Genomic DNA, 24,438 nt, shown 5'->3' with positions numbered 1-24,438 from the left:
ACTTCTTTAAAACACAATTCATATACCAACTCCTAAGAAGCTTTCCTGATTCTCCAAAAATTTAACTAGTTGTTTCATTCTCTGTGCTACCCCATATTTTATATAATAGCCAACCCTGATAAAGTACTTTTTATGTGCCATGCAGTGTTCCATATATGAGCATTAAATTGACATTTAATTTTCATCACAATTCTATGAGATAGATACTCTTTAACATTTCGGTTTCACAGACAAGTAAACAGGCACTGATGGTAGGCAACTTGTTCAAAGTCCCAAGCTTTGAATGTAGGTAGCTCTTAAAACATTCTCCCATATATTTCTACTGCTGCACTTAAGACACTATGCTGCCATTTATTTGCTTCCCAGTCTTCTTCAATACCACAGCTCCCTAAATGCAAGGACCTGTCTTATTTGTTCGTCTCTGTATCCCCATTACCTGGGGGTCTCAAGCTGACGGACTTCCTTTGTGCTCACTGGGCCATGGCAAAGACCCCCAGCTGTGACCACCCAAGCCGGCAATTTTCTCATGAGCCTGGCATTGGAGAGTCATTGAGTCTTGGATGGAAATAAATCAAATACACTGGCCATCTGTGGTCATTAATGGGAAGTATCTCCTCATCTGAATCTACAGCAAAGACAGAACATCATTCCATAATAAGAAACTCTACAAAAGAAATAAACACTGGAAACCCAATCTCTACAGGCAAAGCAACTGAGGCAGAATCCTGAAGCAATTATTTTTGGTTCAGGAAAGGTAACTCTTGAGACTTTGCCACCAGCATTTAGTGAGGAGTCACTGAACCCTAGGGAGGTGAATGATAGCTGTGGGCACTGAGCAGTGGAGCACCCATTATCTAACACATGGTGGCCAGGAGCCTATGTTCCACAGTGCCATTCTGGGATTTGATCTGCCTCCTTTCCTTGGCTAGACCTGGGGCAGGTTCTACTGTATATTCTACTGTATGACCAAGGGCAGGTTCTTTAACCTTTCAGTGCCTCTGGACTCACATTGATAGAACACAGATAATAAGAGAACACAGATTACAGGGTGGCTGGGAGGATTAAATGAGTTATATGAGTTAAATGTTTAGCATGGTGCTGGACACACAGTAAGGGTCCAAGAAACATGAGCTATTATTCTTCCTTTTTATTTAGTAAGACAGGCAGAGAACTGGTAGTACGTATTATCACAAATACGTATCACCTCTACCCCTGTGCCTGGCACACAGTGGGCAGCAATGTTTTTTTGAGACGGAGTTTTGTTCTCGTTGCCCAGGCTGGAGTGCAATGGTGCGATCTCAGCTCACCACAACCTCCGCCTCCTGGGTTCAAGCAATTCTCCTGCCTCAGCCTCCTGAGTAACTGGGATTACAGGCATGTGCCACCACGCCTGGCTAATTTTGTATTTTTAGTAGAGATGGGGTTTCTCCATGTTGGTCAGGCTGATCTCGAACTCCCGACCTCAGGCGATCCACCCACCTTGGCCTCCCAAAGTGCTGGCCACCGTGCCTGGCAGCAATGATTTTTCACTGAATAAATAAATGGCAAAGTGGTTGACAGGCTTTTGTTCAAGGAAATACACTGGAATGGTAATCAGAAGTAAAGCTTAAATGTCAAGAGGACCAGCCCAGTAAGCTCTTAATTCAACATTCTATTGAGATCGTTGTATTACAGACATCCACTGTGTGTTCATAATAGATCAGCCTGAGGCACTGTATAAATCCTTTTGTGTCTTAAGAATTATCAATGATTAAATTATATTCAATGAGGTTTTAAAATTAAGTATACGTTACTGCATTCAAATACCTGAAACACTGGAAATCCATGAAGAGCACAAGTGGCAACAATGAATTAACTAGAGTCTTCTCATGGAGAGCAACACTTCATTTGCACTTCTGTACCTACACGGTATTGTTACCCATCCACAGCTGCATTTCCCACTAGATTGTGAATGCTTATGTCTAGTGCTTTTGTGTCTCTAGTGCCTGAGATACAGTCATGCTTAGTAAATACTTCCCAAACAAATAGCCATTGTGTTTCATGACCAAACCAGATTATAGTTTTTAGTCCAGAAACATATTCTTTTGGTGAACTCACACTTCTACAACACAATAAAAAAACTTATACCCTTGAGACCACTTAAATATAAGTTTCAACATTTAAAAATACGGTACACAAGAAAATCATTCTTGAAAGCCCTAATATTTTAGACTAAATGACTTAATAGAACTCAGTTAAACTGAAAGCTAACGCATCTGCAAAGTCCTTTTAAATTTACAGTTTCTAGGCCGGGCACGGTGGCTCACGCCTGTAATCCCAGCACTTTGGGAGGCTGAGGCAGATGGATCATGAGGTCAGGAGATCGAGACCATCCTGGCTAACACAGTGAAACCCCGTCTCTACTAAAAATACAAAAAATTAGCCAGGCATGGTGGCCGGTGCCTGTAGTCCCACCTACCTGGGAGGCTGAGGCAGGAGAATAGTGTGAACCCACAAGGCAGAGCTTGCAGTGAGCCGAGATGGCGCCACTGCACTCCAGCCTGGGGGACAGAGTGAGACTCCGTCTCAAAAAAAAATAAAAATTTACAGTTTGTAACACAATCAGCTAAAAGCCCCTGCTTTTCTTTTTTTTTTAGATGGAGTCTCCCTCTGTTGCCCAAGCTGGAGTGCAGTGGCACAATTTTGGCTCACTGCAACCTGTAATCACGCCTGTAATCCCAGCACTCTGGGAGGGCGAGGTGGGTGGATCACAAGGTCAAAAAATCGAGACCATCCTCGCTAACATGGTGAAACCCCATCTCTACTAAAAAAAACAAAAATTAGCTGGGCGTGGTGGCGGGTGCCTGTAATCCCAGCTACTTGGGAGGGTGAGGGAGGGAACTGCTTGAACCCGGGAGGTGGAGGTTGCAGTGAGCTGATACTGCGCCACTGCATTCCAGCCTGGGCGACAGAGTGATCCCGTCTCAAAAAAATAAAATAAAATAAAATATGACATTAAGTCAGGCACAGCGGCTCATGTCTGCAATCCTAGCACTCTGGGAGGCTGAGGTAGGAGAATCAATTGAGCCCAGGAGTTTGAGAACAGCTTGGACAACACAGTGAGACCCCATCTCTACAAAAAACGTTTTAAAAAAGTAGCCAGGCATGGTAGTGCATGCCTGTAGTCCCAACTACCTGGGAGGCTGAGATGAGAGGATTGCTTGAGCCCAGGAGTTTGAGACTGCAGTGAGCCATGATCCTGCCACTGCACTCCAGCCTGTGTGACATTAGTGAGACACCATCTCTTTAAAAATAAAAAAGAAAATGATATCAGGCTCAGGAACTTTCTCTGGACTCACGTCAGAGAAACTAATCCGAGCACTTTGGGAGGCCGAGGCAGGCAGATCACTTGAGGTTAGGAGTCCAGCCTGGCCAACATGGTGAAACCCCGTCTCTTCCAAAAATACAAAAATTAGCCAGGTGTGGTGGTGGGCACCTGTAATCCCAGCTACTCGGGAGGCTGAAGCAGGAGAATCACTTGAACCCAGGAAGTGGAGGTTGCAGTGAGCCGAGACTGCACCACTGTACTCCAGCCCAGGCAACAAAAGTGAAACCCTGTGTCAGGAAAAAAAAAGAAAAAGAAAAAGAAAAAAGGGCAAACAAAATAAAAAAGAGAGCCACTTTATCATCTCCTGGACTCTCTCACACAAATGCTAGGGAAAACGGCCAATGCGGTGAAGGTGATCTGCAGCAGGTGATGTCTGCAGCTCCCCTCTCAGCCCAGCACCCCTCCCCACAACACAACTGCATTGGGAGCCTCAACCATGCAGAGGTCTAAATCATAGAGTCCACTCTAAAGCTGCACTCTCTACAAGGTACTTTCTTTTGCGGCGGGACGGAGACTCGCTCTGTCGCCAGGTTGGGGTGCAGTGGCGCGATCTCGGCTCATTGCAACCTCTGCTTCCTGGGTTCAAGTGATTCTCCTGCCTCAGCCTCCCGGGTAGCTGGGACTACAGGCGCACACCACCATGCCCAGCTAATTTTTGTATTTTTAGTAGAGACGGGGTTTCACCATGTTGGCCAGGATGGTCTCAATCTCTTGACCTTGTGTGATCCACCCGCCTCGGCCTCCCAAAGCGCTGGGATTACTGGTGTGAGCCACTGTGCCTGGCCTCTACAAGGTACTTAAATGTCACAGAGATTACATTGTTAGCGAAAGGATCTTGACTCTAAAGGTGGAAGTTTATTCTTCATCCTGTGGATAGGAGGAGTTTGGGTGTCAGGATTTAAGGAGGGTGGAAGTTTAGTCTTCATCCTGTGGCTAGGAGGAGTTCGGGTGTCAGGATTCAAGGAGGGGTAACAAAGACAAACTCCCATTCCTTCACAATTTTGCTGGGATCAGCTCCATTTTCTTGGTTTGGAGGTGAGATGGGGTGGGGAGAGAGAATTCTGGGAAAGTAGACTCTGATTTTGGCCATGGGTAGAATTCCTCCCAAGAGGAACCAGTACTCACGATGGTATGCTAGGCAGGAAATGGTTCCATAAAATGGACATTACTTACCACTCAGCACTGTGAGGATCAAATGAGATAATATTTTACACTACTTACCATACTATTAGGCACATATGGCCTGATAAGTGTTTACTATTATTTCACTGATATGTACCAACAATGATGAAAATAAGCTTCCAAAGAAATTTGCTCACAGACCATTAGAAACAGTTGTACTTGTGCTGAAATCCATAAGTACTGCTCATGATATAAAAGAGTGCAATCTGTTCCCTTTTTAAAGATCTATCACTTTTATTTTTTATTTTTTTTTGGAGATGGAGTCTTGCTCTGTCGCCCAGGCTGGAGTGCAGTGGTGCCATCTTGGCTCACTGAAACCTCCCAGGTTCAGGTGATTCTCCTGCCTCAGTCTCCCAAGTAGCTGGGATTACAGGCTTGCACCACCATGCCCAGCTGATTTCTGTATTTTTAGTAGAGACAGGGTTTTACCATGTTGGCCAGGCTGGTCTTGAACTCCTGACCTCAGGTGATCTGCCCGCCTTGGCCTCCCAAAGTGTTGGGATTACAGGCGTGAGCCACTGCACCCAGCAGATCTATCACTTTAGAAGTTACTGTGGTAGCTGGGTGCAGTGGCTCACGCCTGTAATCCCAGCACTTTGGGAGGCTGAGGTGGGCAGATCACCTGAGGTCCGGAGTTCGAGACCAGCCTGACCAACATGGAGAAAACCTGTCTCTACTAAAAAATACAAAAAATTAGCTGGGCGTGGTGGCGCATGTTTGTAATCCCAGCTACTCGGGAGGCTGAGGTAGGAGGATCGCTTGAACCTGGGAGGTGGAGGTTATGGTGAGCCGAGACTGCGCCATTGCACTCCATCCTGGGCAACAAGAGCGAAACTCCGTTTCAAAAAAAAAAGAAGTTATTGTGGTAACATGTAATTTCAAATCTTTCCAATGCCCAGCAACTATATCTCCCCTCTCGCCCATCCAAGACGGAGTCTTGCTCTGTTACCCAGGCTGGAGTGTAGTGGCGAGATCTCGGCTCACTGCAACCTCTGCCTCCTGGGTTCAAGCAATTCTCCTGCCTCAGCCTCCCAAGTAGCTGGGTTACAGGTGCCTGCCACTGCACCTGGCTTATTTTTGTATTTTTAGTAGAGTTGGGGTTTCATCATGTTGGCCAGGCTTTTCTCAAACTCCTGACCTCATGATCTGCCTGCCTTAGCCTCCCAAAATGCTGGGATTACAGGCATGAGCCACCATGGCCAGCCACAACTATAATTTTATTATATTTTGTCACTTAAAGCATCCCCTCAGTGTATCAGTTGAGTTTAACAATATCATTTATTAAATATGGCCTTCCTGGCCGGAAGCAGTGGCTTGCCTGTAATCCCAGCACTTTGGGAGGCTGAGGCAGGTGGATCATGAGGACAGGAGATTGAGACCATCCTGGCTAACATGGTGAAACCCCATCTCTACTAAAAATACAAAAAAATTAGCTGGGTATGGTGGCGGGCGCATGTAGTCCCAGTTACAACGGAGGCTGAGGCAGGAGAATGGCGTGAACCCAGGAGGCGGAGCTTGCAGTGAGCCCAGATCACACCACTGCACTCCAGCCTGGGCGACAGAGCGAGAATCTGTCTCAAAAAAGAAAAAAATATGGCCTTCCTGTCTTATGATGTGACATCTTACCAGAAGTGTGCATCTTCTTTATCTGTCTTCCTTTCACTCTCACAGTTTATAAGGGTTTAGGATTCCTACTTATTGATCTTTGTCAAAAGTCTGTTTGTCAGAGTAAGAGAGTCCTGAAATAAAAGAATAAGGGAACCTGGGTGGAAGGGAAAACCTCCTCCATGGCCAGCACCCACATTTTAACATTAAATAAGAAAGCAATTTAAGCCAGGTGCGGTGGCTCACACCTGTAATCCCAGCACTTTAGGAGGCTGAGGTGGGCAGATCACTTGAGGTCAGGAGTTCAAGACCAGCCTGGCCAACAAGGTGAAACCCCGTCTCTACTAAAAATGCGAACATTAGCCGGGTGTGGTGGCATGCGCCTGTAATCCCAGCTGCTTGGGAGGCTGAGGCAGAAGAATCGCTTGAACCTGGGAGACAGAGGTGGCAGTGAGCCAAGATCACACCACCACCGCACTCCAGCCTGGGCAACAGAGAGCAAGACTCTGTCTCAAAAACAAACAAACAAACAAACAAAAACGTAATCAGAAACAGCATCAGTCTAGCACCTAAATTATGTATCCTACTGAAGAGATAAGTGTTTAAGAGACTCAAGCTCATGCAATCAGGTGTGCTGAGGTAACAGGCAACTAAAAGAAGCAGAAAAAACCAGTTTACAAAAAAACCAAAGCACAGCTTCAAATAAGACACAGCTCTGCCCTGGGAACTCTTGTGGCACAGCCACCTCGTTCAATATGGCAGGCACTGTCCCCAAAACAAAAGACATCAGCAGAGGAGACACAGTCTGTTTCAGGGCAGTACCAAATATATAAAAAAACAAGGTTTTGGGGAAGATACATGCTATGAACCAAGCACATGGCAGGTATCCAGAATCCTCAGTTCTATATAGATTTATCAGACCATTATCCACGGGCTTCCTGACACAGAGCTTCCAGTCATCAGGAACTAGAAGGTGATGGGCATACCACATTTGGTGCCTGTACATAAGAAAATCTGAGGTGGAGTGGGGAATGGGAACACTTTCTTTACTCAGAATTTTATTTTTCAGTGTGTACACAGAATAAAAATCTTCTTAGTGCTATAACAATCTCAGAATTCTAATGCTTTGCTGCTAAAAGCAAATAATATAAAAATTGTTTTTCTCAATGGATAGATATCTTCTTGCTTTAATTATATAATATTTTCTTCAATTTTTGGCATTGCTCCTTCCTTATTTTTATTATTTTTTCTCTTTTTTTCCTGCAAACACTATGGCAACTTGGGCATTTGCTACTTCTTGATTGCAGCATCTAGAAGCAGATGACAAAATGAACGAGTGAAAAAACAACTTTTCCCTGTGCTTAGTTCACTTAAGCTTCTTTGTTTTGTTTGATGGTCTTGACAGTATGATTTTGGATCGCTTAATATATAATATTGTGTTGTGCTAGAAAAAACTAACATATACATGTATTGTTTTCATTTAAAAATTAATTAAAGAGAAAGAGAAAAGCAACATTTTAATGCCCCAGGAATTGAAACTAACGTTTTCTGTCTCGGCTGGACCCCTACGCCCATCTTTTGATTTGCTGATATCATTTGCCATGTGATGGTCAATACATGTCTGCTGGGTAAGCAGTAAAATTCTGGGGGCAAGCCAGTTTTGAGAAGCTTATAATCTGACTGGGGGAGACATATCTTCAAATTTTGGAAAGATATTTAATTTCTAATTATCTTAAAAGCAAATAAAAGAAACATCAACTGACCATGATCCTGCACATTTCTCATCTCAGCATCACTACGGTAAAATAAGCCAATGATGAACACTGCCATTTCACTACAAACTCTCTCCTTTTATTAACGTTGAGTATGAACACGAAACGTGATCACCTGTTTAAAAGAAAAACACCGCTTTGTTCTTTGACAATTTCAAAATAAGGAACTTTGGGTTTTTATTCCTTTTAAGAGTTTCTGTAGTTGACTGTTTTTTTCTTGCTATACAATTCTCCTTGGATCTGTATTACCTCAGCTCCTTAGATACGGCAAGGGTAGAGAGTCCTCACTTAAAAAAATTTCCTAATTGTACACATTAAAAGCTAATATTTAAGAAAAACCCTCTTAATCCTCCAACCCCTATTCCTACTGTGAATAATCTGGTTTAATACAAGTTAAGTCTATAAATAAATCTGTTCTTTCTCCTCAAAAAAACAGTTAAGAAACTTTACAAGAATTACAGGTTTAAAAAATTTACCGAGAGAAATCAAAGTACTGTCACTTAACCCCTATTAACATACGGTGTTCAAGCCTTCCAGTATCAGCGCCTTTTGCATAGCATCGCTGCTAGTCGTTTCACTAGCATGCTGGCTAGGAGTCTTCTTAGTCACTCTTTTCTTCTCCTTGATAGTGTCTGTACTCTGGCTTCAGCTCCCATGTGTTTTTGTGGATCCCTTTTACATTCTGAACACCAATTTCTTTTAAGATTTCCTTCAGGTACACCTAAAACAAAAACAAAACCCCTAACAAATGAGATTATAAATGCAGGGGACAAAACTTAAAATAAGATGATATGCCAAAGCACATATGCAAGCCATAAAAATTATGATCCTAAAAGCTCAGCAAGATTTCTCTATAAGGAGGTTCAATAAACTGCCTTTTGATTCTACATGTGCGACATGGTAACTGCACTAAATATATGATCATGTGCATTAAAGGAGTTGAAAGTCCTGAATGCCAACAACTTAAAAGCTAAAACAAACAAACAAAAAAAACACAAAAAACACTACATGAAATACACGAAAAAATTACTGGTCCTCACTCAGTGTGACACGGTACACCAAGGGTAATCTGCCCTTGAGTTCAGTGGCCTCATGGGACTCAGTTCACAGATTGAAACCAGTAGTTTCAGGAGCAGTAGCATATAAAAAAAATGAGCAACATTTTTGAGAATATTCTATCAAGCAGGCATATGACAGGTATTCAGAATTCTCAGTTCTAAGGTGAGTTCTCAAATTTGTTTTTAGGCCACCCACTTATTTTTTCCTATGTGAGAAGGAGAGTTGTTATTTGTATTTACTACTATTTGTACTTTAGCCAAGCTTGCCAACACAGATAAGGGAGTAAGAAGTGATAATAAGGCCGGGCTTGGTGGCTCACGCCTGTAATCCCAACACTTTGGGAGGCTGAAGTGGGCAGATCACCTAAGGTCAGGAGTTCGAGACCAGCCTGGCCAACATGGTGAAACCCCGTCTCTACTAAAAATACAAAAATTAGCCAGGCATGGTGGTGGGAACCTGTAATCCCAGCTACTAGAGAGACTGAGGCAGGAGAATCACTTGAACCCAGGAGGCAGAGGTTGCAGTGAGCTGAGACTGTGCCATTGCACTCTAGCCTGGGCAACAACAGTGAAACTCTGTCTCAAAAAACAAATAAATAAATAAAGTGATAAGAAGACATCCCCTAAAACTATCAGGGATGCAGCCTTGTGTTTGGCTTCTCCAAAGAAAAGAGTCATATTATGGTGTTTTAGGTCCCTAAAAATTCAATAAACATTTACTAAATGATTACTATGGTCATGGAAATGATGGCTATGTTAAGTGTAATATGAAACTAGACCTTTGCTTGCCAATGCTGAAGGCCAAAAAGCATTCCACAATAAGCTGACCAATATAAATTACAGAATTTCCTTCTTGGAGAAGAAAGGAAAGATAATAATATTAATTATTATTATCATTATTATTTTGAGATGGAGTTTTGCTCTTGTTGCCCAAGCTGGAGTGCAGTGGCATGATCTCGGCTCTCTGCAACCTCCGCCTCCCAGGTTCAAGCGATTCTCCTGCCTCCTCCCAAGTAGCTGGGATTACAGGCGCATGCCACCACGCCCAGCTAAATTTTTTGTATTTTTAGTAGAGATGGGGTTTCACCATGTTGGCCAGGCTGGTCTCGAACTCCTGTCCTCAGGTGATCCACCCACTTCGGCCTCCCAAAGTGCTGGGATTACAGGCCTGAGCCACTGCACCCAGCCAAGATAATTATTTAAAAGCGACTCTTTTGTTGTTGTTGCAGAACAAAGCAATCCAACAATAATTTGTGTGCGTGTGCTTCAAAGAACTAGTTACGGTATGATGATGACTCATCCCATTGATGGAAGATGTAATTTTTCTTATTGATTGAAGTGAGGCATTAATAAGAAAAATGGCTGAGAAGCTCTTGTCTGTATATTTAAGGTAGTGCTTTTCTCTAGCATGGTGCTAGACCACCTGCATCAGAACCCTGTGGGGAGCTTGTTAAATGAGACACAGCTTGGGCCTACTGAATCAAAGTCTCTTGGGCTAGGCCCAGGAATCTGCATTTTAACAAGTGCCTAGGCGACTCATGTAACTATATACTAAAGTTCCACCACATCTGGCTTAAGGTTCTTCCAGTTCTGATACTCTAGGATCTTTGAGTCCTTAGTGTGTTGCTTCGTTCTCTGAGCCTCATGTTTGCTGTAGAGTACGTGTTACCAACATAATCTAATGCCACTTTACACTGACTGATATAATGCTCTAGAGTTCATAAAGTCCTTTTAGTTAGGGGTAGGTTGTCACCTAGAAACATAATAGCTGATTAGTACTGGAAGTATACAGAGGTTCCTTCAGGATGGCTCAGCTCTCTCGTGGGCAGCCTTCCCATGCCAGCAGCCAAGCCCCAGCAGATGGCAGCAATGAACCAAATGAGCCCTGGGTTCCCCCGAGGCTTGCCTACCTCCCACACCTTATACAGTTGGCTTCACTAGCAGACCCGTGTGAATGAGTAAGCATAAAGGCTTGAGATATCTAGGTAATATAAAATGCAAGTCTGCCACCTGCTATTTCAAATTACATTTAAAAAACAGGACACTGTTCATAAACTACTTTCTAATTGAACAGGATTCATAAATGGAAAATGATTGGTTAGGCACAAATGATTCTCTGTTTAGGTGCCAAGAATGACATCTTTGTAAAATTCCAAAGAATGGTTTATTATGAGACTGGCTAAGACGATGTTGCACAAACAACCATACAATTGTGGATGCACTGCAATGGGTCAAAAATGAAAAGAACAATTGCCAGGAGCATTTTAGTAGCTCCATAGAAAAGAAGCTCTCCTGACTTCAAGTCTAGTGTGCCCATTTATAATCTAGGCCCAGAAAATGAAAATCCTAAAAAGGGTTAAACAAAAAATATTAATAAAGTCTGAAGTGTACAAATTCAGTTGTTTTCATGTCCACCCTCATTTTGGCAATCTAGTAGAACATATGGAATTCTTTTTATAAACGAAGGTGTCATTCTTTTTTCCTTGTAACAATAAGAATGGAATGAGATGACCATAGTCAGTCAATTTCTCAAGCAACAAAATGCAATCAGGGTCACAATGTACTGTGATCAGGGGGTAGGGGACACAAACTTCCTGATTTTTAGGATGTTCTAAACTGCAACCTAAGACCATTTTACTCTAATCAAATAAATTAGCTTGGCAGGGAAGTAGGTATAAAACATTAGCAGAGAAAGTAGTAGTGACGATAGGGAAAAACAAGGTCTCTGAAGGGAAAATCTCTAAAGGGAAGACATGGACAGAGAACAGAAAGAGCACATGTCCTTCCTCTGTCTAAAATATTCTAATGACTTCCCCGTTTGGGCTACACATTAAATTCCAAACGCCTTTGTAGGCATCCACTCAGGTCTGCCTTCTCCCTTTAGCCTCATCTTCCAACACTCCCCCTCACGCATGCTTCCCATTTCTGCATCTGCGTGCTTCTGGGTTTTTCCCATATGTTGTTTCCCTTCCTTGTAACGTTTATCTCCTTTCCTCAAATCTGGACCCCTCATTCTTTAAGACTAGGCTCAAATGTTACTTTCTCAGAGAAACTTTCTCTAACAGCCTTACCTTAGATTTACATTTCACACCGCACAACCTTCGATGGTAGCTCTTATTATATTATAATCCTTTATTTATATGCCTTGCTCTCCTCTTAAATCACATGCTCCTTTTTTGGGGGGGGCGGGGGGACGGTGGGAACAGAGTTTCACTCTCGTTGCCCAGGCTGGAGTGCAATGGCATGATCTTGGCTCACTGCAACTTTTGCCTACTGGGTTCAAGTGATTCGCCTGCCTCAGCCTCCCGAGTAGCTGGGATTACAGGCATGTGACACCACGCCTGGCTAATTTTGTATTTTTAGGAGAGACGGAGTTTCTCCATGTTGGCCAGGCTGGTCTTGAACTGCTGACCTCGTGATCCACCCGCCTCGGCCTCCCAAAGCGCTAGGATTACAGGCATGAGCCACCGCGCCCGGCCACATGCTCCTGTTATAGTGCCTGCGTGCACATCACAGAGACTCAGTGTACTTATGCAAAGTGAATAAGGCGTGCTTAAGACTAACAAGGCAGCTAAGAGGACTGCTGGGTGGTGGTGGGGATATCACTAAGAAGGTCCATAAAAATAGACCATTCAAATTCTAGTTCAGTTTTAGAACTCAAGCAGTGATCTAGTTTGAGAAACAAAGTTTACTGACTAAACTGTACTACGTGAATTTGAATGTCACTTATTACTAAAATCTGCATTTTAGTGCTAAAATATTGTTGGTGACAGAGCCAACTGAAGAAGAGGTTTTAAAGGTTCTACCAGGATTGAAAATTACTTGGTAATCTTATTTCTCTTTTTAACATTCATATATTCACTCAAACATTTATTCCAGCACCTACAATGTGCCAGGTGGAATGGTAGACACTCAGTCTTCCTCTCAGAGTTCACAGTTTAAGATTAGTGCAGAGGATGGGGGCAAAGAAAAAGGCATATTACGCCGGGTGTGATGGCTCACGCCTGTAATCCCAGCACTTTGGGAGGCTGAGGCGGGTGGATCACCTGAGGTCAGGAATTCAAGACCAGCCGGCCAACATGGAGAAACCTCGTCTCTACCAAAATTACAAAAATTAGCTGGGCGTGGTGGCAGGCCCCTGTAGTCCCAGCTATTCAGGAGGCTGAGGCAGGATAATCACTTAAACCCAGGAGGTGGAGGTTGTAGTGAGCTGAGATCGCACCACTGTACTCCAGCATGGGCAACAGAGCAAGATTCCACCTCAAAAAAAAAAAAAAAAAAAAAAAAAGAAAAAGAAAAAGGCAAATTGGCAGGTAATCAGAAAATATAACAGAGGCATGTGTACAGGGTATTATGAGACCACTGAGAAGGGGGCACCTAACACAGCCCGCATAGAGATGTTAGGTTCTTTGAGGATAGATATTTGATCATTCGATTTGAACAGCAATTCTGTGTAGAGATCTAGAGAAAGGAGTTCTCCTCCTCTTACTTAAACACTGAGTGACTTTCCAATTAAATCTTTTGTCTAACCACCTGTATTTGAAACAGAGGATTCTAGAACTGAGTAGATCACTTTTATGTCACATAGGATTGGGGATATGTCTTATTACAGACTATGTGCCAAGCTGCAGCACAAGATCTGAATAAACTGGCTCAGGTCCAGCAATTCTTCATCAAAAGGATGTGTGGGAGAGAATTTACGGCAAGTCTGAATGCAGAGAAATAAGGGATAGAACATCACAGCTTTCTTGGAAGGAAATGGCAAGGCACATACTTGATCAAAGAGGTCAAGTGATTAGGATGTTTGTTTGCATTTGTGGGTCAAGTTAAAACTGCGGTGGGCAAAAAGCCAGAAGTCCATGGATCAACATCCTAATTGGCCCCCAAGACTGAGACAAACCTATAGTCATAAGGCACAGTAGCCTATTATTTTAGTCTTTTGCTCCTTCCTTCCGTCCCTCCACCCCCTACCATTTCTCATATCATCTTTTCTTCTCCTGCTCTGTCAAACAAATGGAGGACTTAATCTGCATTTCATCTTATCATGCATTTCAGTGATAAGCATAATAATAAATCAATTATATCTAAATTTGTAGATGTTCATTAAAAACATACACCTTTGACAGGGAGATGATCACCAACTACTAATGCTTTAAGTAAGTTAACAATATGACCCTGTTAGTCTTCCAGTCACAAAATCTTCCCAAAATGGTGAGACTGAATATTCAATATGCAAACTTACACTGATGATGGCACTGATTAATGCAGCTGACAAAGGAAAATGCACTATATGCTTTTTATAAAGTGATCCAACCACAAGAAGGGCATTATCGATTCTGTGATAATTTCAAAGTATCATTTCATCTTTACATGATTTTTGTGTGAATGACTGCAACTCCTTTAAGAGATATCAACAGAATGAAAACTTACTGATGAAGATGTTAGTGACTTCAAGGCAAAACATTCTTCTGTTAAAATATAAACTACACATTAGGAAGAAACTGTGATCAAACGTGATATAGTTTGGATGTGTGTCCTCATGAAAATATCATATTGAAATGTAATCCCCAGTGTTGGAGGTGAGGCCTGGGGAGAGGTGATTGGATCATGGGGACGGAACTCTCATGAATTAGCACCATCCCTCTGGGTACTATCCTCGAGATAGTGAGTGAGTTCTCTTGCCATCTAGTCGTTTAAAAGTGTGTAGCATGTCCTGCCTCACTCTCTCACTCCTGCTTTTGCCATGTGACATGCTTCCACCATGACTGTGAGTTTCCTGTGGCCTACCCAGAAGCTGAGCAGATGCCAGCATCATACTTCCCGTACAGCCTGCAGAACCATGAGCCAATTAAATCTCTTCTTTATAAATTACCCAGTCTCAGGTATTTTGTTAGAGCAATGCAAGAATGGCCTAATACAGAAAATGCAACAGACATTTTCCCTCATTTAGAGGAAAGGCGATGCTAGGAAACTTCTCTGAAACACAGACCATTTCTGCATTTTTCTTCTTTTCTCCTGGTTTCACTTCCTCTTCCCCACTAGATCCCGCCTCCTATCTTCCACTCAGGGTCTCCATTCCTCCCTGTAAAAACTCTAAGCAGCACACAGATGGGTGATGAAATGGTCAAGGTGCAAACCCTACTCCACCTTCCCCCAGCCCTACTTTACTGCTTAATCCAAACCTTGAAAAAGCAATTATTGCGTTAATATTTGTGTGCTGGTAAATTATCTCACTTTAGTAACATCTCCTCTATCCAGCACTGACAAATGCTTCACATGCTTGAATATTTCAGGTAAACAAAATTTACTTTCTTTAGGCTAAACCTTTTAACTTTGTTTAAAGACATGCTTCTAAACTGTATTAGGCCGGGCGCGGTGGCTCATGCCTGTAATCCCAGCACTTTGGGAGGCCGAGGCAGGTGGATCACCTGAGGTCAGGAGCTCGAGACCAGCCTGGCCAACATGGCGAAATCCCTTCTCTACTAAAAAAAATACAAAAGATTGGCCAGGCATGGTGTCAGGCACCTGTAGTCCCAGCTACTTGGGAAGCTGAGGCAGGAGAATCACTTGAACTCGGGAGGCAGAGGTTGCAGTGAGCCGAGATCATGCCATTGCACCCCAGGATGGGTGGTAAGAGCGAGACTCCATCTCAAAAAAAAAAAAAAGTCTAGCAGTTCCTCAGAAGGCTAAACAAAGTTACCATGTGACCGAACAATTCCACTCCCAAGAGAAATGAAAACATATATTCATATGAAAATTTGTAGGCAAATGTTCATAGCAGCCTTATTCATAATAGTCCCAACGTAGAAACAATGCAAATGTCCAACCCAAATGTACCAATGTATAAACAAAATATGGTATATACACACTATGATATATATTTGCAAATAAAAAGAAATGAAGTACAATCAGCCTTCCATATTCTTGCGTTACAAGTCCATGGATTCAACTAATGGCAGATCAAAAATCTTCTGATTCTTTTCTTAATGCATTTGTACTGAACATACACAAACTTTTTTGGGTCACTATTCCCTCAGCAATATAGTATAACAATTATTTACATAGCATTTACATTATATTATATAAGTAATCTAAAGATTTAAAGTATACTGGAGGATGCATGTAGGTTATGTATAAAAAAAGATGCTGGAGAGGATGTGGAGAAATAGGAACACTTTTACCCTGTTGGTGGGACTGTAAACTAGTTCAACCATTGTGGAAGACAGTGTGGCGATTCCTCAAGGATCTAGAACTAGAAATACCATTTGACCCAGTGATCCCATTACTGGGTATATACCCAAAGGATTATAAATCATGCTGTTATAAAGACACATGCACACGTATGTTTACTGCAGCACTATTCACAATAGCAAAGACTTGGAACCAACCCAAATGTCCATCAATGATAGACTGGATTAAGAAAATGTGGCACATATACACCATGGAATACTCTGCAGCCATAAAAAAGGATGAGTTCATGTCCTTTGTAGGGACATGGATGAAGCTGGAAACCATCATTCTGAGCAAACTATCTCAAGGACAGAAAACCAAATACCGCATGTTCTCACTCATAGGTGGGAATTGAACAATGAGAACCCTTGGACACAGGAAGGGGAATATCACACACTAGGGCCTGTCGTGGGGTGGGGGGAGGGGAGAGGGATAGCATTAGGAGATACACCTAATGTAAATGATGAGTTAATGGGTGCAGCACAACAACATGGCACATGTAAACATATGTAACAAACCTGCACATTGTGCACATGTACCCTAGAACTTAAATAATAATAATAATAATAATAAACACCATTTTATATCCAGAACTTGATCATACTTGGATTTTGGTATTTGCAGAAGGTCCTGGAGCCAATCTCTCATACTGAGGACAGCTGTACTGATGTGTGCCACAACATGGATAAAACATAAAAATATTATGTCTAAGTTAAAGAAGCCAGGTGTAAGAAATCACATATCCATATATATTAATATCCAGAGAAAATCTACAGAGACAGAAAGTAACATTAGTGGTTCCCTGTAGGGGAGAGAAAGGAAATGGGGAAAAGACAGGAGTGACTAGTAATGGGTATGAAGTTTCTTTTTAGGGCAATGGAAATGTTCTAAAATTGATTATGGTGTTGGTTGCACAACTCTATGAATATACTAAAGTCCACTGAACTACACTTTTTTTTTTTTGAGACAGGGTCTCCCTCTGTCATTCAGGCTGGGGTACAGTGGCACGATCTGGGCTCACTACAACCTCTGCCTCCCAAGTAGCCGGGAACTATAGGCACATGCCACCATGCCTGGCTAATTTTTGTGTTTTTTGTGGAGACAGGATTTTGCCATGTTGCCCAGGGCTGGTCTCGAACTCCTTGACTCAAGTGATCTGCCTGCTTTAGCTTCCCAAAGTGCTGGGGGTTATAGGTATGAGCCAACACATCTGGCCTGAACTACACACTTTAAGAAAGTATAATTTGGTCGGGCGTGGTGGCTCATGCCTGTAATCCCAACACTTTAGGTGGTCAAGGTGGGCGGATCACGAGGTCAGGAGATTGAGATAATCCTGGCTAATACAGTGAAACCCGGTATCTACTAAAATTATACAAAAAAATTAGCTAGGTGTGGTGGCATGTGCCTGTAATCCCAGCTACTCGGGAGGCTGAGGCAGGAGAATTGCCTGAACCTGGGAGGCGGACGTTGCAGTGAGCCAAGACTGCGTCACTGCACTCCAGCCTGGGTGACAGAGCGAGACTCCATCTCAAAAAAAAAAAAAAAAAAAAAGTATAATTTGTACTAAAAATAAAAGGTTTTAAATTGAGAGGAAAAAGGGAGGCTGCTTCAGCTTATAAAACAAATTAAGATGACTATTTTTATTATCCAATTATCTGGGTAATGTAATATATCCAATAAACAGTGGCTGGCTCTGCATGTTAATGTATAATTGAACTCGCTGTCTTGGGACATTTGAAAAAGAAAGAAATGGCTCTGTAATGCTGCAATACCGAAGTGAAGAAGGCCAGTGCTGGCAGTACAAGGTCCTCTGCCAGTTGGTTTATCCTCTGGTATCTGAATCCACCTGCTCAGAGAAATGGGAGGCTTCGAACACCGATCCAACACCACAGAATAATGTTTTCTTAAACGCAGAGCCCAACACAAAGAAAATTATTTCTTTCCCGAGGGAAATTATTTCCATAGAGATGGCAAGCCCAAAACCAAGTCTTTCTAGCGTGTTCAGGAACTAAATGAAGAAACCAGCAGCAGACAGTTAATAAGCTTAAAAATTTTAGCTGGGCATGGTGGCGGGCACCTGTAATCCCAGCTACTCAGGAGGCTGAGGCAGGAGAATCGCTTGAACCAGGGAGGTGGAGGTTGCAGTGAGCCGAGATCGCGCCATTGCACTCCAGCCTGGGCCACAGAACAAGACTCCGTCTCAAAAAAAAAAAAAAAAATTTTACCACTCTTTAAAATCAAGTGGGACTGGAAGGATGGTATGGAGATTTTATTGGTAAGGGCATTTTTCAGAAAATATAATTTTTGTGGCCTATTGCTTAATTAAAATTTCAACGTAAATTCTATATAAATAAATACCAAATTTTGTTTACTGGGTACCTATCCCAGATATTGCTCTTATCCATGTAATACCTTACGTAAAATTCTGACTCATTTGTTTATATTACTAAATTCACCCCAAATTTCACCTCATTCAGGATGAGGTAAAAAACAAACAAGGGCCAAATGCTGTGGCTCATGCTTGCAATCTCAGCACTTCTGGAGGCTGAGGCAGGAGGACTGCTTGAGGCCAGGAGTTCAAGACCACAGCAAGCAACATAGTAAGATCCTGTCTCCACAAAAAAAATTTTAAAAAATTAGCCAGGTGTGGGCTGGGCACGGTGGCTCACACCTGTAATCCCAGCACTTTGGGAGGCAGAGGCGGGTGGATCATGAGGTCAGGAGTTCAGGACCAGCCTGGCCAAGATGGTGAAACCCCGTCTCTACTAAAAAAATACGAAAATTAGCCAGGCGTGGTGGCGGGCGCCCGTAATTCCAGCTACTCGGGAGGCTGAGGCAGAGAACTGCTTGAACTCGGGAGGCGGAGGTTGCAGTGAGCCGAGATTGCGCCACTGCACTCCAGCCTGGGCAACAGAGTGAGACTCCGTCTCAAAAAAAAAAAAAAAAAAAAAATTAGCCAGGTGTGGTGGGGCATGCCTGTAGTCCTAACTACTCAAGAGGCTGAGGTGGGAGAACTGCTTGGGTCCAAAGATTGAAGTGACAGCGAGCTATGATCATGCTATGAGCTATGGAGCTTTGAGCACTCCAGCCTGGGTGGCAGCAGGAGACCTTGTCTCTTTATTATTTATTTGAGACACGGTCTCGCTCTGTCACCCAGGCTGGAGTAGAGTGACACAATCTTGGCTTACTGCAACCTCCACCTCCTGGGTTCAAGCAATTCTCCCAACCTCAGCCTCCAGAGTAGCTGGGACTACAGGTGTGCACCACCACTCCCAGCTAATTTTTGTATTTTTTTGTAGAGTTGGGGTTTCACCATGTTGTCCAGGCTGGTCTTGAACTCCTGAGCTCAAGCAATCCTCTCACCTTGGCCTCTCAAAGTGCTGGGATTACTCACGTGAACCACTCACCTGTTCAGACCCTGTTTTTTTTTTTTGTTTTTTTTTTTTTTTTAAAGAGCCAAAACAAAACCATATAAAAAGTTAAAAGGGAAAATGTTACTGTTCCATAATAAAGTTGGTAGTAGATCATTGGTCCTTCTATTAGAATCACTATTCAAAAAGAAAGTATTAAAATTTTATAAATGTGTTTAAATTTCACCCACTTATAGTCAACATAGTTAATAGTTTATTTTACATCACATTTCATATTCTAAAACTTTTAATTAAGGCTCTATTTCATAAGTTAGCAAATAATTATTTCTTAAAAGAGAAGTCTTAAAGAGGGCTGTCAATATGCTCTGTTGGGAAATTGTCTTTTTTTTAAAATATAAAAAATTTATATTTAAAATATAAAAATATAAAAATTTAAAAATAAAAATTTCCAGTTATAGGAAAAATGAAAAGATGAAAAAAGGAACCAAGTGAATATATGTCAGTGGAAAGCATTATAATAAAAACAGCAGTTATTAAGTAGTAGTAAATTTGGGAATAAGCTTCAAACATTAAAAATACCTATTTTTCCTTTTGGAGTAGAAACTGAACTAAGATAAAGCTTAAATTCTACTCTCTACATACCTGGCTTAGGATTAATGATGATGATTCTTAATAATATAGAAATCAGAAAGCAGCCTGTCTGACGGGCAGATCACCTGAGGTCAGGAGTTTGAGACCAGCCTGGCCAACATGGCAAAACCCCATCTCTACTAAAAATACAAATATTAGCCAGGCATGGTGGTGCCTGCCTGTAGTCCTAGCTACTCGGGGGGCTGAGGCAGGAGAATTTCTTGAACCCGGGAGGTGGAGGTTGTAGTGAGCTGAGATCGTGTCACTGCACTCAAGTCTGAGGACAGAGCAAGACTCTGTCTCAAGAAAGAAAGAAAAAAAAAATTAGCTGGGTGTGGTGGTGGGCGCCTGTAATCCCAGCTACTCAGAAGGATGAGGCAGAAGAATCGCTTGAACTAGGAGGTGGAGGTTGCAGTGATCCGAGATTGCACCACTGCACTCTAGCCTGGGTGACAGAGCAAGACTGTCTCAAAAATAAAATAAAATAAAATAAAAATAAACTTCTCTGAATCCTGACTTGAAATTGGGTAGGTGGTGCAAAAGGAAATTAAGAGGTCCAGTTATAATCAGCGCTAGTTTTCTTTTTTTTTTTCTTTTTTCTGTCGCTCAGGCTGGAGTGCAGTGGCGCAATCTCCGCTCACTGCAACCTCCGCCTCCCGGGTTCACACCATTCTCCTGCCTCAGCTCCTGAGTAGCTGGGACTACAGGGGCTGGCCACCACGCCTGGCTAATTTTTTATATTTTTAGTAGAGATGGGGTTTCACCGTGTTAGCCAGGATAGTCTCGATCTCCTGACCTCGTGATCTGCCCGCCTCAGCCTCCCAAAGTGCTGGGATTACAGGCATGAGCCACCGCGCCCGGCCAATCAGGGACTAGTTTTCAATGACACTTTTTAATACAAGTATGCTGTACAGGAACACTGGTAAATGAACGCTGTTAGATAGAAAACAGAGTGTTGAAGTTCAGAGTGGTATTGGCAGTTTGGTGTTTCAAAGGGAGCAATTAGATAAAGTTTTTAATGGTTTATATCTTCAAAGGAAACACTATATATGCTTCTATTTGACAGATAAAATATGAAAAAAGCTAGAAATAACTCATTCAAGGTTAAAAATCAGAGTATCAGGGAGAAATAATAGGCCTCCTGTAATTTTCTATTTTTGAGGGGGGAAAAATCCAGAAGTTAAACCATATAAAAATACCTGCTGTGGTTTGTATATCTGTCCCTTCTAACACTCATGTTAAACTTAATTCTCAATGTGGCAGTAGTAAGAATTGGGCCTTTGAGAGGTGACTAGGTCATGGGGGTTCTGCCCATTCATAGATTAATGGGTTATCATGGGAGTGAAATTGGTGGCTTTATAAAAAGAGGGAGAGGAAGAGAGACCTGAGCTAGCACGCTCAGCCTCCTCACTAAGCGATGTAAAAAGCCTCTTACCAGACGTGGCCCTTTGATCCTGGACTTCTCAGCCTCCAAAATTTTAAGAAACAAATTATTTTGCTTTAAAAATTGCCCAGCTTCAGGTATTCTGTTATAAGTAACAAAAAACAGACTAAGATAATATATCTTTAAATGGATACTATGTCCCCGACTTTATATCAGTTACCAAAGCTTGGCCTCCTTGATGAGTAACTTTCACTCTTTCTAGTTGCTTATGTAAGTCACATACTGGCAAACAAGAGAAAAAGACGGGCCCTAAGCAAAGTTTCTCTAGCCAATAATTTTACTTATAGAAATGAAGGTTTTGGCCAGGAACGGTAGCTCACGTGTAATCTCAGCACTTCGGGAGGCTGAGGCATGTAGATCACCTGAGGTCAGGAGTTCAAGACCAGCCTTGTCAACATGGTGAAACCTCATCTCTACTAAAAATCCAAAAATTAGCCAGGTGTGGTGGTGGGCGCCTATAATCCCAGCTACTCAGGAGGCTGAGGCAGGAGAATCGCTTGAACTCGGGAGGTGGAGGTTGCAGTGAGCAGAGATTGTGCCATTGCACTCCAGCCTGGGCAACAAGAGCAAAACTCCATCTCAAAAACAAACAAACAAAACACCCCACCCCCAAAATAAATTATAATTTGAACATATTGGTAAATTTTATATTATTACATATGTTAAGTGAACTAAATATAAGTAATGTATTAAATGTATTTAAGTACCTTGTCCAGGACTATTTGGCTAAATGGTAGAGCTGGGACTTGAACTAGGATCTCATACTCCAAATCCAGGTTCTTTCCATTATACCAGAACACCCCCTTTCCTGGACCATTGATCTTCATGCTAGAATAGATTCCTCAAGTCTCTTGGGTACTGATGACCATTAGTACAGATTCACTTATGTCCTCGAATCCTTTTAAAGGGGGATAGTTGCCTACTTGGGGGAGAGCTAGACTTTGGCAACTTTCTTTCCCAGTCAATGGACTGGAATCCATGCTGACCACTTCCTGCCCTCTCCTCTAGGAGGAGGTAACTACCTCTGGCCTACCCCCAGCCTGGGGAAGGCATTCCACACTTTCTTGGCACTGGCTCTTTGCCCCAACCTCACTATAAATGACGTGAGAGGCCTGCCAAAATCCATCTGAAGAAAATATGGTGGCCCTTGGAGACTGAGGATTTTCTTTTTTCAAATCAATTCATGAGATATTTGCTGAATTTTTACCATCTTTTACACTATGGGGTATATGAATATTTAGGGATAGGAATAGCATACAACTCTGCCTTCAGGAATCTTATGCTTATTGAGGCAATTTAGTCTCTAAATAATAAAACTATTATTTAAAAAGTTAGTTTTGAGATCAGCGGCTTCTATGAGAATCTGATACAAACTATGGATGATATGTTCCCCAGAACAATTCATACATTTTTGCAGATTTTCAGGAAGTTAATGGATCCCCTTAAGTCCATCCACTGGTTAGGAATTAAGAAGCTCTGTTGTAAGAGATTCACTGAGTACTACCATATAAAAAATATCTTAAGAACCAAAACCAAAAGACACACTAGTAATACTTGTTCTTTGATGCAAAATGAATAAACCTTATATCCCATGTGAAGGCAAAGAAACTGCTTTCCCTAGTATCATCTGAATGCCCCTCTACAAGTGATTATTTTCCATATCTAATTTTTTGTGTTTAATTCCATGAGAATCTCGTCTGTTTTCAGAGTTTCTGGAAGGGTCTTTTCATACAGATATATTTATATATATAAATACAAAGATAAATTTCATTAAAACCAGAAGAAACACAGCTTAGCTAATGAGTTATTTATTCTATTTCAAAAAAAATTTTTAATCTAGCTTAGAATGCTGTTTCTAAGGCTTTGATGCCAAAGGGAGTGAAGTCATTGGGATGAATTGATAATACTCCACCATGAGCACTTTCTTCTTATTAAAAAGTAAATCTTTTGGAATTCAAATTAATTTCTTAACAAAAGGCAAGGGTTGATGTATAATAGTAAAGAAATATCTGCAGGAGAAACTGTATAATGAACATTAAAATTTCATAAATCATTTCCTAAAGCTTTGTATAAATAAAAAAAATCAAGTCCTTTCACAAATAGGTTATTTGGTTATGTTAAGATGTTTTTTAAAATTGGTTATTGTTACATATTCTGAATCCAATAAATGGAGCAGCAAGAATCAACAGATTCTTGAGTATACCGGCAGAGTAGACAAAATGGTAAAGGAAATGAGATAAAAGGGTTTCCATTCAATTTTCTTAAACCTATAAGTAAATACTCAGTCTGATACTTTGGTGACATGTGGTGGAGAAAGTTAAATGGAAAACAATGTGACTCAAAGACTAGAAAAAGAATTTGAATTTCTTATTGTTATCATCATTTTAAATGGATTATTAATGCAAATTACTAGTAAATGCACAAAAGCCTAGAGAAGAGATAAAAATGACTATAAAACAAACATAAACTTTCTAAAATACGAATTTGTTAAATTTGTCCTTAAAAATGGGGAACAGGCCAACCTAATCACAATCTCTGCAAGCATAATTTGAAAGTGCAGTTCAGTTCAGGTTTAAAAGGACCTACACAGATTCTAATTAAAAAAAAAAAAAAAAAAAATCCACAGAAAACAATTCACAAGACAGGGATAAACCCTCCCACAATGACAAAACAGTATAATTCTTTAAAGAATGCGATTTTTCTATGAGGCATGTTTTCCAAAAAAAGGGAAGGAGTTAAACTTTCTCAGAGGAAGATAGGGAAACAAAATAAAGACCAG

The 24,438-nt window shown here is 41.6% G+C and overlaps 1 protein-coding gene across 3 annotated transcripts in view; it reads right to left on the bottom strand.

The window, feature by feature from the left end:
* Positions 1–7,195: 7,195 nt before the first annotated feature.
* The window catches only part of GTF2F2 (general transcription factor IIF subunit 2), a 164,384-nt gene continuing 147,141 nt past the window's right edge, over positions 7,196–24,438 (bottom strand). For all 3 annotated transcript variants that reach the window (XM_011535052.4, NM_004128.3, XM_017020551.2), the window contains one exon: positions 7,196–8,647. In XM_011535052.4, coding sequence (XP_011533354.1) covers positions 8,528–8,647 — 120 coding nt within the window. In that variant the 3' untranslated portion in view covers positions 7,196–8,527. The remainder of the gene's footprint in view (positions 8,648–24,438) is intronic.

Source organism: Homo sapiens, chromosome 13 (assembly GCF_000001405.40).
Source record: "Homo sapiens chromosome 13, GRCh38.p14 Primary Assembly".
In the NCBI taxonomy this organism is placed as follows: Eukaryota; Metazoa; Chordata; class Mammalia; order Primates; family Hominidae; genus Homo; species Homo sapiens.
The sequence above is the reverse complement of the archived record's forward strand: the minus strand, read 5'-3'. Positions and strand labels throughout refer to the sequence as shown.